Here is a 15,394-nt window from a genome sequence, read left to right on the forward strand (position 1 = left end):
ATGATTCATGTTCTGTTGTTTTCTAATATCGAGTGTTGTTGAGAAATCTGATGCCATTCTTACTGTTGATCATGTTTTATGTGACCTGCTTTTTTCCCCTTCATTCTGGAAACTTGTGGATCCCCTCCCCACTCTCCATGAGGCTCTAGTATTTTACAGCAATGTGCCTTGAAATGGATCTGTTTTGCATTTATTTTGTTTAATATTCCACAATCTTTTTCAGACTAGAGTCTCAAGTATTCCAGTTTTGTAAAGTTTTATTGGGAAAGGGGTCATTTTATCATTTTTGCTAATTTTCTACCTTTTATTTTTCCTGCTTTTTTATTCTCTCCTCAGGGGTGTTGGAAATTGAGAACCAAATCTCTAATTTGTTACCTTTTCTCTCCCATTTCATGTGATAATTTATTCCCACTGAATTTTGAGAGATTTCTTTTAATTCATCTTCCAACTTATTTATTGAATATTTAATTTGTGCAATCAAATTATATTTGTAATAAGTTTCTAAAAATCTTTTAATATTCTTGTGTTTTTATCCTGTTGATGGATGGATTATCATTTCTTAGATTACCAGGGTATTAATGACGTCTTTTTGGATTTCATTCTTTGCATTACTGATGTTTCCTTCATGTGCTGTTATCTTCTTATGTATTACTTTTTCCACTTCCTTTATGCTAAGGGCCTTCTTTGATGTCTGGTAATCTTAAATTGTCAGTTTACATTAAAATGAAGTATGAAAAAGCTGATTTTAAACTACAAATTTTAGCACTTGAGTTGGACTTATTAAGTAGTGAAATGGGAGAATTACTTGACCCCCCTTGCAGGATATGTGACACCGGTGTGGCCTGTCTGTTTGGCTGCTGCACCCTCAAACCCCTTATGGGACAGGGAGCATGCAGACAGGCAGGAGCTAGGGTGAGCACTTTTGGTCTCTGAGCCCACAGTAGCATCTAGGGGTTGCTGTCTGTGACTCCCAAATCCCCAGTGAGTGTGCTACAGTGCTCTTTCAGCTCTGCCATCTGCAGACAGCTTAAGTGTTAACCAGCTCAGTGCCTTCTTGGTACCTGGGTTCTTGTCCAGCATCCAGGAAGAATCAGGTCACATGAACAAATTGAAGGATGGTAAATGTGGGGGATTTTATTGCCAGATGGAGGTGGCTCTCAGCAGGATGGATGGGAAGCTAGAAAGGGGGTGGAGTGGGAAGATGATCTTCCCCTGGAGTTTGGTGGTCCCATGGCTGATCTCCTACCCGACTATCCCCAGCTGAACTCCTCTCGATGTTCAGATGCTCCTTCTCTTCTCTTCTTTTCTGCCACACTGCTCTTCTGTTCCTCTCCTCTTCTGCTAGTCTGCTCATTTGCTTGTGGAGCCTGGGGTTTGGGGTTAATATGGGTACAGGATAGGGGGACATGGCAGGCCAAAAGGCAACATTTGGGTGTGAAAACAGGAATGACTGTTCTCATTTAGGGCTGTGGGTTTCCAGGCTTGAGGGTGGGGCCTTTTGCCAGAGAACCACCTTCTTTTACCCAGTATTTCCCTGTCTCCTGTCCATATCAGTAGGAGCCTCATTGTTGGGGAATTGATCAGGGATATGACTGCTTTTTTTTTCTCTAGGGCAAAGATAATAATTTTCTCTAGAGAAGGATTATATGATATTCTACCCAAGAAGCATATACCTGGTTGCCATTGCTCTAGGTATCATATGAAGGAAGAAGACATGGGTAGCTCATATCTTTGATTTACTTACTCTTGCCTACATCCCTGTTCTCTCCTGTGTTTAATATCTCTGAAACTTTGGCCTCTGAGTTGAATATCCCCAGAGGATAAAGCTACCAACACCTCCAAGGTCAGGGAGGGTTAGTAGCCTGGTTTTACTGGGTATAGGTAGAAACCTGATCTGAATGACTTTCAGTCCTTCCCCTCCTTCAGGACTATGCTTGGAAGTCCTACCTTCCAAGTTATATAAGCAGGAACAATGTCTAGGAATCCCTGACTTTTGATGTGCTTTTCATTGCCTTGCTTTTTTATTATTGTCTCTTAAAAACGTATTTAGTTTTCCGGCTCTCTTCTTTGGCTCAGTCAACCTATGATACGGTTTGACTGTGTCCCCACCTAAATCTCATCTTGAATTGTAGCTCCCATAATTCCTACCTGTCATGGGAGGGACCCGTTGGGAGGTAATTGAATCATGGGGGCAGGTCTTTCCTGTGCTGTTCTCATGATAGTAAATAAGTCTCACGAGATCTGATAGTTTTATAAAGGGGAGTTCCCCTACACACGTTCCCTTGCCTGCTGCCATGTAAGACATGTCTTTGCTTCTTTGCACTCTGCCATGATTGTGAGGTTTCTCAGCTATGTGGAACTATGAGTCCATTAAACCTCTTTTTCTTTATAAATTACCCAGTCTCAAGTATGTCTTTAATTAGCAGTGTGAGAACAGACTAATCCACTATAGCTCCCTCCGATTTGCACCTTCCAAATATTAGTTGACATCTCTCATGCAATATAACCTTATTCTCTATTGTTTTGTGGCTTTATACCATTTAGAATATTTTACTGTCATTTTAGCAGTGTATGCAAAGGAGAGGTGATAATGCATTCAATCAATCAAAGGAAATGTGTATTTTTGTTAAAACCAGACAAATAAGAATGCTGTCAGATTATAAGAACGAATTTAATTTGTCTCTAAGTGGCAATCGCTAACACTTCTTGCTTCTCTGCTTTCTTCACACTTACGTTTGGGTTACTTCTTTGACCCTGTCCCATTGTCCTTTCTTTCTTCAATGTTTTAATTTACACCTATTATTTTACAGAGTATCAAAGTTAGCTGGCTGCCTCCTCCATCAGGAACACAAAATGGATTTATTACCGGCTATAAAATTCGACACAGAAAGACGACCCGCAGGGGTGAGATGGAAACACTGGAGCCAAACAACCTCTGGTACCTATTCACAGGTCAGTGTTCACATGGTGTAGTCTTGCAAGGTTTTGATGAATTAAATGCTTTAGGAATAAAATATAGTCTCACTCCAAAGGAACATTGATTTTCTTCCTGGCATCCAGGCAGGTGACATCTATTGGCTGGAACAAGAACAACCTTTATATTTTTAACTTTACATTCTCTATAATGTTTTCACTATATATTTCTCTCTGGATCATCGTCTTAATACATGTATCATAAAATTTTTATTCATACTAGTTTCTCAGCATTGCTGATTCAACAAAAGCATCTGTTATCTAAAAACTTAACATTTTAACCAGTAACTTTTAAAAGTCATCTAATGAAATTGTTCCAATTTCAATCACTTTGATTCCCCTCTACCAATATTCAGGGGTGAGAATGGGTTGAAAACTGAAGAAAAGGGTAGATTGTAAAACAAAGAGAGAGATTATTCTACCTTCTGCCAATATAAAGTAAATTCACTTATGCAGCAATATTGATAGAATTCAGAGTAGATCAACCTTCTCTATGAAAACTGGACCCAGTTTGCATGTAAAGAATATATTTTTTTAAATTTTATAAAATAATCATGTATTTAATAACTACAACCTTTAATTCACAACAGCTCAGGTTCCTAGAAAACAGAATGAGGCGAGGCTTTCAACGTAATACCTTTAAAGTTATAAGTTCAGGAAAACAAGAAGGAGAGAACAAGGAAAGCAATCCAGGGAAGAAGAGAAAACAGATAATGGTGGTACATTATCCATCTGTGGTGGCCACAACTTCGGGGCAAACACAGCACTTGCTAGGTCTCCTGGGTGTCTCTTGAGAAGCCACATGAACTATCTCACAGTCCATGGATAGAAGGTGTGAGCAGTTGCTCTCTTGTTTCTCACTGGTTGAGTTCACCAACAGCTTACTGATTACTCTGCACCTCCCAGGCAGTCCCCAGTGAAGCCAGAGCTTCTGATGACTCTGCAGACACATAGGTGTCTTTTTGTCAATCAACATTTTATGTGATGGTGGCTTGGCCTAGGGTATGATCAGAGCTCAGGGCTTTTCAAACCTAGGAATATCTTGAGCTACTGCCAGAAACTTGGCAAGCAAAGCATATAGAATGGCTCATGACACAGCTGGGTAGATGAAGTTGAGCGACTCTGAAGTGGCACATAAACTGGGTCAGGACAACATACAAACCATAAAGCACATGACTTACAATTTATAGATGAGGTAAACTACCATTGCAAGTGAGAAAAAAGAAAGTAATCCCTTATGTATTCCTTTTCTCTACGCCAGATACTCAGCGAATTTCCATTTGAAATCATGACTCACACACATTATAAGCTTCTTGTTCAGCCTACACTCAGAGACTTGAAAGTAACTTGTTTATTTATTTTTTCTTCTTTTCTCTCAGGTTGTCTTTTATGCCTATATAATTTTAGCATAATGGCCAGAGCACTTCCAAAGTAGATTGCCAAAAATCATGTTTTAAATATGGACAAAATCTCTGAGGCAGGGAATGGTTGAATCTAACGGAAAGTTTAACATTTACCATATCATTTTAAAAGATTTTGAAAAGCCAATATCCTATGTTTTTCTTTTTCCCCTGACAAAATAATGGGGAAGATGGTAAAAATAATCAAAGTGAGGAACATGTATTCATTAGGATATTTGGTACAATATGACTTTTACTTTGAGAGAAATCACCAAAATTGAAAAATCTTGCTAAAAATATTTTAGTATGGATTCTAAGATTTAATATTAGAGTAGAGGAGACACTAAGGATAATTTAATCCAAGCTCTTCCAGACATAGAGATTTGAAGCCTCAAAACTTTATCATCATTGCTTTTGCTTCTCAAATGATAAACATTGAGAATATAAAATTAATTTCTTACTATAAAATAATTAACTAAAGGATTAATATTCCAATAAAAAAGCTAATGATTGGATGTTCAATTCACAGAACTATACGCAGCCAATAAAGATGATAAAATGTTCAATCTCATTAGCAAATAGAGAAATGCAAATTAAAATAAAAATGAGTTAGCATTTTCCTTTGATTAAAGTAATAAAGATAAAAATAAATGAGGGCATCCCATTCTGGAAAGCATATGAGAAATGTAAACTCTCATATACTGCTTGTGGGACAGAAAATGTCCATAACCCTTCTGGAAAGCAATGTGTGTGTATGTATATATATATATATATATATATATATATATATATATATATATATATATATATGTATTTTATACGAGGTATATACATGTGTATGTGGATGTATGTCTGTACATATAATTTTCTTTTCATAAAGATATGACCCAGGTTTCCAAATTCTACGAGTTTATCCTAGGAAGCAATCATATTTTTGCAAAGTTTTTAGCTAGATGCATATTGTCATATTATTTTAATAGCTAATAGTGTTTTTGAAAACCTAAATATCCAACTATAGGAAGTTACCTAGAAAACTCAGACACAGTTGTATCTTGGAATACTATATGTCTAATTTAAATGAAATAGTGTAAAAATGTTAAATCATATGTAAATTATGATTATTTAAAACATAGTAAGCAAATACCCCAGTTTTAAGTCAGTATTAGTACAAGAGCTCGTATTTATTAAAAAAAGCATTCACATAAAAATATTTAGAATAATATATATCCCAAATTGTTGACCGTGAATATTGCTTACTTTGTAACAACAGTATGATATGTATTTTTAATTGCATATGCAAAATGAAAAACAATAAGTTAAAAATATTACAATTTTTGCTTTCAAAAATTGAAGATTTCTTCCCACTAATGCTAACTCAATATCATCTGAATGGCTTAGAAAGCAGTGGTCCAGAAAACAAATGAATAGTAGCCTCATGGCCAGTAGAATTTGCTAGCGTTAATTGCTTAGTCCTTATGAGTTATTTTGGCAAATGGAAGTTAACACATTCAGTTAGTATTTTCAAACCAAGATTCTGACTCCCTAAATAACACATTTAGGACTTTCCCTCTGTTTAAGGTAAAATCATTGAAAAAACGCAGTACGGCAACTATTAGCTTTCTCACCAGCAGAGACCCAAAACAAAATACCACGAATTTCGTAACTTGAAAGAATAGACATTTATTCTCATAGTTCAGGAGGCCAGAAGTCTGACATTAAGGTGTTGGTAGGTTCAGCTCCCTCTGTAGGCTCTGAGAAAGAACCCATCCCACAAGTCTCTCCTAACTGCTGGGGTTACCGGCAGTCCCTGGTCTTCCTTGGCTTGTAGATGCATTGCTCTAATCTCTGCCTCCATCTTTTTATACTTTCCTCTCTGTGTTCTCTCCTCTTCCTTTTTTATTTGTTTTGTTTTTTTGAGACAGGGTTTTGCTCTCTTACCCAGGCTGGAGTACCGTGGCATGATCATAGTTTACTGCAGACTTGACCTTCGGGACTCAAGTGATCCTCCTGCCTCGGCCTACGGAGCAGCTGGGACTATAGGTGTGTTTCACCACACCCAGCTAATTTTTTAAATTTTTCGTAGAGACAAGGTCTTGCTTTGTTGCCCAGGCTGGTCTCAAACTCTTGGCCTCAAGTCATTCTCCCTCCACAGCCTCCCAAAGTGCTAGGATTATAGGCATAAGACACTGTGCCTGGCCTCTCTCCTCTTCCAATTAGGACATTAGAGATAGAGCCCACTTGAAATCCAGGATGACTTCATCTTGAGATCATCAACTAATTATAACTGTAAAGACCCTATTTCCAAATAAGGTCACATGCTGATCCTTCAGACATGCATGAATTCTAGGGGGATACCATTCAAACTACTATAGACTCCTTTTTAAATTTTTCCTCTCAAGGACAATCATTTTGAATTGTATCTTCTAATAAACTTTACTTACTCAAAAATAAATAATTCAGTTCTACATTTTCATTCATCTAAAATATGTGTGACAGTTAGAACTTCTAATCAGCATGAGGTAACCCATCACCACTCTGGTTTATTATCATTCCAGCCAAAAGCAAAGTGAGATGAATTAATTAGTTATTAGGAACAGCTCACAAATGCCCATTTGCATCTTCATAGAGCTGTAAGAATTTGGATCCAAAATATGTAGGCTTTATTCATATTGTTACATCTTGATTTCATGAGTTATAATAAAGCATTTAGGAATGCAAACAAAATATGAGCAGTTATATGTGCGACTATGCCTGAGATTTACTGCAAACATATATGTGCGTGTATATATATATATATATATATACATGTATATATACGTGTGTGTATATATATATATATATACTCTTTCTAAATTTGAACTAAAGCAATAAAAAGAGTTAATGAACAGCATCATATACTTAAAATTTTTTTGAGTAGCTTTGGAAAATCGTTCCCTCCTCTCCCCTGCTCTGTGACTGGGCTACAGAAACACCTGTTGCATTGCTAGATATTATGGGAATATATGTCTTCAATGCTACAAAACATTAAGGAACCAGGGAGCGCTACATACTTGTAGATTGGCTTTGGTTTAGACATGTCCCCAGGATATATATAGCACTTACACACTTTGTTGTAAGCAGAAGTAATTGATTTTCCATATAAATCTACAGCACTGTAAAATGTAAAGGATTTGATCCTATGATTTTAATGCCTATAAGATACATGGATTTATTGATTTGGCTGTTTAAAAAATTGGAAATTTCAGAATGCTCCATTTGTATGTTATAAATATTCAGGTGTAGATACTCAAATTTTTTTTTACAATCTTCTATTTGTTAGACAGGTGTTTTTTGTGTGTATGTGTTTTTTTAATGAGAATAATGAGACATCTGCAATAACAAAGTAATTCAGAGTTATAACAAGAATTGAAATCACTGCTATCAGGTTTATTGTGAGAACCCACGTCAACTAAATTTTAAAACGTTTTTAATTTTTGACTGCTCTTCAGGGAAGGTTGTTTGAATTGAATTTAAGAGTTTTCTTGTGTTTCATGGTCAATATATAATAAACATAATAATAAAGATGCATTGATAGTTTATGGACTGAAAAATTGAAATAATAGCATAGCAATTTTATAACAGGGCTAACATTGGGAAATTGTGTTGTTTGAATAATATGCCATCTCTTACTAGAAGTTCTAAAAATTAGAAATAGAACATAAGAATTACAAAGCTTGAGGACACTTAGCATTCAGGATAGAAACCTGCAGAGATAATCAACTTTCAACAACTGAATTTTTTACAGCTATGAAAAGCATTGCTAGTTACACCGTACTACCCTTACAATAAAGGTATACTTAGAAGCATCTAGGACACACACACACACACACACACACACATTGAGATTGAACTTTATGATCCTGACAAACATAGCAGGAAACACAGAATTCGTCTCATCCAAACTGGTTGGGTTTTATTTTATTTCATTTATTTATTTATTTTATTTATTTATTTTTTTTGAGATGGAGTTTCACTCTTATTGCCCAGACTGGAGTGCAATGGTGCAATCTCGGCTCACTGCAACCTCTGCCTCCCGGGTTCAAGTGATTCTCCTGCCTCAGCCTCACCAGTAGCTGGGATTACAGGCATGCACCACCACACCTGGCTAATTTTTTGTATTTTTAGTAGAGACGAGGTTTCGCCATTTTGGCCAGGCTGGTCTCGAACTCCTGACCTCAGGTGATCCGCTCTCCTTGGCCTCCCAAAGTGCTGAGATTACAGGCGTGAGCCACCGCACCCGGCCATACTGCTTATTTTACAGAAGAAATAACTGAGGTCTGGAGGGTGGTATGGCTAAGGTCCTCCACTAGTTAAGGAGATGATCCCAGGTGAATTGTGTGTTGTCTAACTCCTCATTATGTGCTCCTTTCACTATGCGTGTTGTCATCTTTAGTTCACTTTATTGTGAGTGATTAAGGCTGTTATATAACTTTGTAAAAGATAATTAACATTAAAAACAATGTTTAACATTTACAACAATAATACCCATATTATTACTTACTGAACTCAAATCATTCACTATGCTAAAAGCTATATGTGTGTTTTCCATTTTAATCTTTATGACAGTTTTTATTTATGTATCCCCATTTTATGGATGAGGGCATGGAAGTAAACAAAGAGGCCTGGTTTTTCATGGTCAACCAGCTAATAAGTAATGGAATGAAAATTCAAACCTAATACTGCCTGAATAGAAAACCTATATTCTTACCTCTTAAACTGTAAATAATGTGTTTCTCACCGTAGGCAATGCATTCGTGATTGTATCAGTATTAAAAGGGATAGGAGAAAAACACAAGGATGGAAAAAGATGTCTATTGGACAATAAAACTTAAAGATTACCATACAGTGGGTAGGGCGCGGTGGCTCATGCCTGTAATCCCAGCACTTTGGGAGGCCGAGGCGGGCGGATCACGAGGTCAAGAGATCGAGACCATCCTGTCTAACACGGTGAAACCCTGTCTCTGCTAAAAATACAAAAAAAAAAAAAAAAAAAAAAAAGAAAAAGAAAATTAGCCTGGTGTGGTGGTGGCGGGCGTCTGTAGTCCCGGCTACTCAGGAGGCTGAGGCAGGAGAATGGCATGAATCCGGGAGGTGGGGCTTGCAGTGAGCCGAGATTGCGCCACTGCCCTCCAGCCTGGGCGACAGAGCCAGACTCTGTCTCAAAAAAAAAAAAAAAAAAAAAAAGAAAAAGAAAAAGATAAAGATTACCATACAGCTAGAGGAGCTGACTAACTCTAGAACATATTAAATAAAAGCTTTCCTGGCCAAATTATTTAAATTTTTAAAAATATTCCTATTATCCCAGTTCAGGAACTAGATCTAAGATAACAGCTTTTCAAAATATACATACAAAAAAAAAAGCTTTTAATTGGCCGGACGTGGTAACTTAAGCCTGAATCCCAGCATTTTGGGAGACCGAGGAGGGCAGATCAGGAGGTCAGGAGATCGAGAAACCCCGTCTTTACTAAAAATACAAAAAATTAGCCGGGCGTCGTGGCAGGCGCCTGTAATCCCAGCTACTCGGGAGGCTGAGGCGGGAGAATGGCTTGAACCGGGGAGGCAGAGCTTGCAGTGAGCCGAGATTGTGCCACTGCAGTCCAGCCTGGGCGACAGAGCAAGACACTGTCTCAAAAAAAAAAAAAAAAAGCTTTTAATTACAGACTGCCTTCTCTTTACTCCACCTCCAATGAAAGAGAGAGAGGAAGGGAAAGGGAGGGGAGAGGAGGGAAGGGAAAGGGAGGGGAGGGGAGGGAAGGGAAAGGGAGGGGAGGGAAGGGAGGAGGGAGTGGGGAGAGGAAGGGAGGAGGGAGGGAGGAGGGAGGAAGGAAGGGAGGAAGAAAGGAAGGGAAGAAGGAGGAAAGGGAAGAAGGGAGGGAAGGAAAGGGTGGAAAGGAAGGAAGGAAAAAGGAAGGAAGGGAGGGAAGGAAAGAAAGCAACATTGAAAGATCTTCTGATATCAGCTATCAGAGTTGGGGCCCCCAAAAATTGCTTGGTGGTGGTTATTGTTGGTATAACTCTGGAAGATAACTCTTTTCTCTAATAGGGTATATTTATTTATTTATTATTGTTATTATTATTATTTTGAAGACAGAGTCTCGCTCTGTGGCCCAGGGTTGAGTGCAGCGGCACGATCTCGTCTCACTGCAACCTCCGCGTCTCGGGTACAAGTGATTCTCCCACCTCAGCCTCCTGAATAGCTGGGATTACAGACGTGCGTCACCACGTCAGGCTAATTTTTGTATTTTTAGTAGAAACGGAGTTTCACCATGTTGACCAAGCTGGTCTGGAACTCCCGACCTCAAGTGATTCGCCTGCCTCGGCCTCCCAAAGTGCTGGGATTACAGGCTTGAGCCACCGCTCCCGGCCGCATTTCTAAGCAAGAGAACAAATTAACTCTTCTTGAGACTGAATTTTGGATATTACTGATTTCTTAGCTTGATCCACTGTCAAAAATAATAGAATCATCAATTTTAACCTCCCTACCTGCCTATTATTCAAGTCTGATGTAGTGATCATAGATAGATATTTCTTCCATGCCTGCATAGTGCTTTAAATTTGTTGCTAATGTCTCTCTTGGGTTCTAGCATAGGGCATGTGGGCCTTTGAAGGTGCCCAGCAAGAGACAGAACAGAGTCAAGATTCTTTACCCAAGGATAGTCCAAGCTTTAACTAAAACACCATAATACGTTAGCTTAATTTCTCTGAGCCTTATTCATGTCTCTAAAATGGGACCAATCATGTATTCTGCGCCAAAATCGCAGGGTATTTGAAAAATCAAGAAAGTAACCTGGAAATCACTGTGCCAATGTCAGTTATCACTACATCTATGAAACGCTTGATTTTATAAATCACTTTTACAGGCAATTTTTCATTTGACCCTCACAAGAAACACTATAAAGTGGAAGCATGTATTATTACTTAATCACGTTAGATAGGAAATAGCTATTAAAAGAGCCTCCAGTACATCTAAAATTTTCCCAAACAAATCACAGCATAGAAGCAGGGCCACCTGAAACCTGGAATTCTAAAGGTAATGTCCAGACTGCTTCTCTGAAAAGTCAAAATTTCTGCTTCTGCTTTATATCATGCACTTACTTGGGTATAAAAAAAGGATCGCAAGTTAAATTTTCTTGATAAAGGTTTGATAAAAAAGTTACCGAATTTAGAATCCAAAGTCTTGGATAAACATGTTTTATAGGAGAAACTTAATTTGTTTTTATCCCACTAGGATAAAACTAGTGCAGTCTATCTGTAAGTGATACTATGGTAAATCAGATTCAGTGCAACCTAAGGAAGAACTTTTCTAAAAAGCAAAACTTGAAGGTGAGTTATCTCCGTTGCTGAATTTCTCATCCAACAAAAGTATTCCTGCTTTATTTACAGGGACACTTTGTTAGATATTCAGCATTATATGAGCCATTTGACTAGATATTACTGAAGATTTTCTTTAATAATGGGATTCTATACATATCTAAATTTTTTTTATACTTAACCTAGCTTTTTTAGGTGTTTGTAGTTAGATTCCACAGCCCAGCAAAGTTGAAGGTGTTTTAAGGATAAAATATAATACTTCAAAGACATTTGGCAGGATTTTCAGAGTGACCTGAGGCACTAATCTCTACAGGATGCTAAAACTTCCCTGCAGATGTAATAGAAAGGAAGATATGAAGAGCTCCCCTACTGTATATGGTTGGAAGGGATACTCTGATAAATAGTATAGCCTGGCCAGGTGAGATCCCTTTGGGGAAATACTTACAATACACTAGATGGCCTCTAAACTGCTTTCTTTTTATTATTATTATAACTTAAGTTCTGGAATACATGTGCAGGAAGTATAGATTTGTTGCATAGGTATACACATGCCGTGGTGGTTTGCTGCACCCATTAACCCGTCATCTACATTAGGTATTTCTCCTAAAGCTATCCCTCCCCTAGCCCCCCACTCCCTGACAGGACCTGGTGTATGATGTTCCCCTCTCTGTGTCAATGTGTTCTCATTGTTCAACTCCCACTTATGAGTGAGAACATGTGGTGTTTGGTTTTCTCTTCTTGTGTTAGTTCGCTGAAAATGATGGTTTCCAGCTTCATCCATATCCCTGCAAAGGACATGAACCCATCCTTTTTACGGCTGCATAGTATTCCATGGTGTATATATGCCACATTTTCTTTATGCAGTCTATCATTGATGGGCATTTGCATTGGTTCCAAGTCTTGGCTATTGTGAATAGTGCTGCAATAAACATACATGTGCATGTGTCTTTATAGTAGAATGATTTATAATCCTTTGGGTATATACCCAGTAATGGGATCGCTGGGTCAATTGGTATTTCTGATTCTAGATCCTTGAGGAATCGCCACACTGTCTTCCACAATGGTTGAACTAATTTACACTCCCACCAACAGTGTAAAAGCATTCCTATTTCTCCACATCCTCTCCAGCATCTGTTGTTTCCTGACTTTTTAATGATCACCATTCTAACTGACATGAGATGGTATCTCATTGTGGTTTTGATTAGCATTTCTCTAATGACCAGTGATGAGCTTTTTTTTTCATATATTTTTTGGCCCCAGGAATGTCTTCTTTTGTAGTAGTATTGTCTGTTCATATCCATTGCCCACTTTTTGATGGGATTGTTTGTTTTTTTCTTGTAAATTTGTTTAAGTTCCTTGTAGATTCTGGATATTAGCCCTTTGTCAGATGGATAGATTAAAAAAATTTTTCTCCCATTCTGTAGGTTACCTGTTCACTCTGATAATACTTTCTTTTGCTGTGCAGAAGCTCTTTAGTTTAATTAGCTCCCATTTGTCAATTTTGGCTTTTGTTGCCATTGCTTTTGGTGTTTTAGTCATGAAGTCTTTGGCCATGCCTATGTCCTAGGTTTTCTTCTAGGGTTTTTATGGTTTTAGGTCTTACATTTAAGTCTTTAATCCATCTTGAGTTAATTTTCATATAAAGTGTAAGGAAGGGGTCTAGTTTCAGTTTTTTGCATATGGCTAGCCAGTTTTCTCAACATCATTTATTAAATAGGGAATCCTTTCCCCATTGCTTGTTTTTCTCTAGTTTGTCAAAGATCAGATGATTGTAGATGTGTGGTGTTATTTTTGAGGCCTCTGTTCTGTTCCTTTGCTCTATATATCTGTTTTGGTACCAGTACCATGCTGTTTTGTTTACGGTAGCTTATAGTATAGATTGAAGTCAGGTAGGCTGATGCCTCCAGCTTCGTTGTTTCTGCTTAGGATTATCTTGGCTATGCAGGCTCTTTTTTGAAACCATATGAAATTTAAAGAAGTTTTTTTTTTTCTAATTCTGTGAAGAAAGTCGATGGTAGCTTAACAGGAATAGCATTGAATCTATAAATTACTTTTGGCAGTATGGTTATTTTCATGATATTGATTCTTCCTATCCATGAGCATGGAATGTTTTTCCATTTGTTTGTGTCCTTTCTTATTTCCTTGAGCAATGGTTTGTAGTTCTCCTTGAAGACACCCTTCACATCCCTTGTAAGTTGTATTCCTAGGTATTTTATTCTCTTTGTAGCAATTGTGAATGGGAGTTCACTTATGGTTAGGCTATTATCGGTGTATAGGAATGCTTGTGATTTTTGCACATTGATTTTGTATCCTGAGACTTTGCTGACATTGCTTAACAGCTTAAGGAAATTTGGGGCTGAGATGATGGGGTTTTCTAAATATACAATTAGGTCATCTGCAAACAGAGACCATTTGACTTCCTTTCTTCCTATCTGAATACCCTTTATTTCTTTCTCTTGCCTGATTGCCCTGGCCAGAATTTCCAATACTATTTTGAATAGGGATGGTGAGAGAGGGCATCCTTGTCTTGTGCCGGCTTTCAAAGGGAATGCTTCCAGCTTTTGCCCATGCAGTATATTGGCTGTGTGTCTGTCATAAGTAGCTCATATTATTTTGAGATACGTTCCATCAATACCTAGTTTATTGAAAGTTTTTAGCATGAAGAGGTGTTGGATTTTATCAAAGGCCTTTTCTGCATCTATGGAGGTAATCATGTAGGTTTTGTCTTTGTGACAAAATATCTCAAAATATTGAGATAATCATATGGTTCTGTTTATGTGATGGATTATGTTTATTGATTTGCATATGTTGTACCAGCCTTGCATCTCAGGGATGAAGCCAACTTGATTATGGTGAATAAGCTTTTTGATATACTGCTGGATTCGGTTTGCCAGTATTTTATTGAGGATTTTCACATTGATGTTCATCAGGGATATCGGCTTGAAATTTACTTTTTTTGTTGTGTCTCTGTCAGGTGTTGGTATCAGGATGATGCTGGCCTCATAAAATGAGTTAGAGAGGAGTCCCTCTTTTTCTGTTGTTTGGATGGTTTCAGAAGGAATGGTGCCAGCTCATCGTTTTACCTGTGGTAGAATTCGGCTATAAATCCATCTGGTCCCAGGCTTTTTTTGGTTGGTAGGCTATTTCTGCATCAATTCCAGAACTTGCTATTGTTCTACTCAGGGATTCGACTTCTTCCTGGTTTAGTCTTGCAGCGGGCAGGGGGCATATGTGTCCAGGAATTTATCCATTTCTTCTAGATTTTCTAGTTTATTTGCATAGAGGTGTTTATAGTATTCTCTGATGGTAGTTTGTATTTCTGTGGGATCAGTGGTGATCTCCCCTGTATCATCTTTTATTGTGTCTATTTGATTATTCTCTCTTTTCTTCTTTATTTGTCTGGCTAGTGGTCTATTTTGTTAATCTTTTCAAACAATCACCTCCTGGATTCATTGATTTTTTTGAAGGGTTTTTTGTGTCTCTATCTCCTTCATTTCTGCTCTGATCTTAGTTATTTCTTGTCTTCTGCTAGCTTTTGAATTTGTTTACTCTTGCTTCTCTAGTTCTTTTCATTGTGATATTAGGGTGTCGATTTGAGATCTTTCCTGCTTTCTCCTGTGGGTATTTAGTGCTATAAATTTCCCTCCAAACACTGCTTTAGCTGGGTCCCA

The 15,394-nt window shown here is 37.7% G+C and overlaps 1 protein-coding gene across 5 annotated transcripts in view; it reads left to right on the forward strand.

Annotated features, from left to right (window-relative positions):
- Positions 1-15,394, forward strand: part of DCC (DCC netrin 1 receptor) — a 1,195,703-nt gene that overhangs the window by 962,571 nt on the left and 217,738 nt on the right. For all 5 annotated transcript variants that reach the window (NM_005215.4, XM_017025568.2, XM_017025569.2 and 2 more), the window contains one exon: positions 2,811-2,952. In NM_005215.4, coding sequence (NP_005206.2) covers positions 2,811-2,952 — 142 coding nt within the window. The remainder of the gene's footprint in view (positions 1-2,810; positions 2,953-15,394) is intronic.

Source organism: Homo sapiens, chromosome 18 (assembly GCF_000001405.40).
Source record: "Homo sapiens chromosome 18, GRCh38.p14 Primary Assembly".
Lineage (NCBI taxonomy): Eukaryota > Metazoa > Chordata > Mammalia > Primates > Hominidae > Homo > Homo sapiens.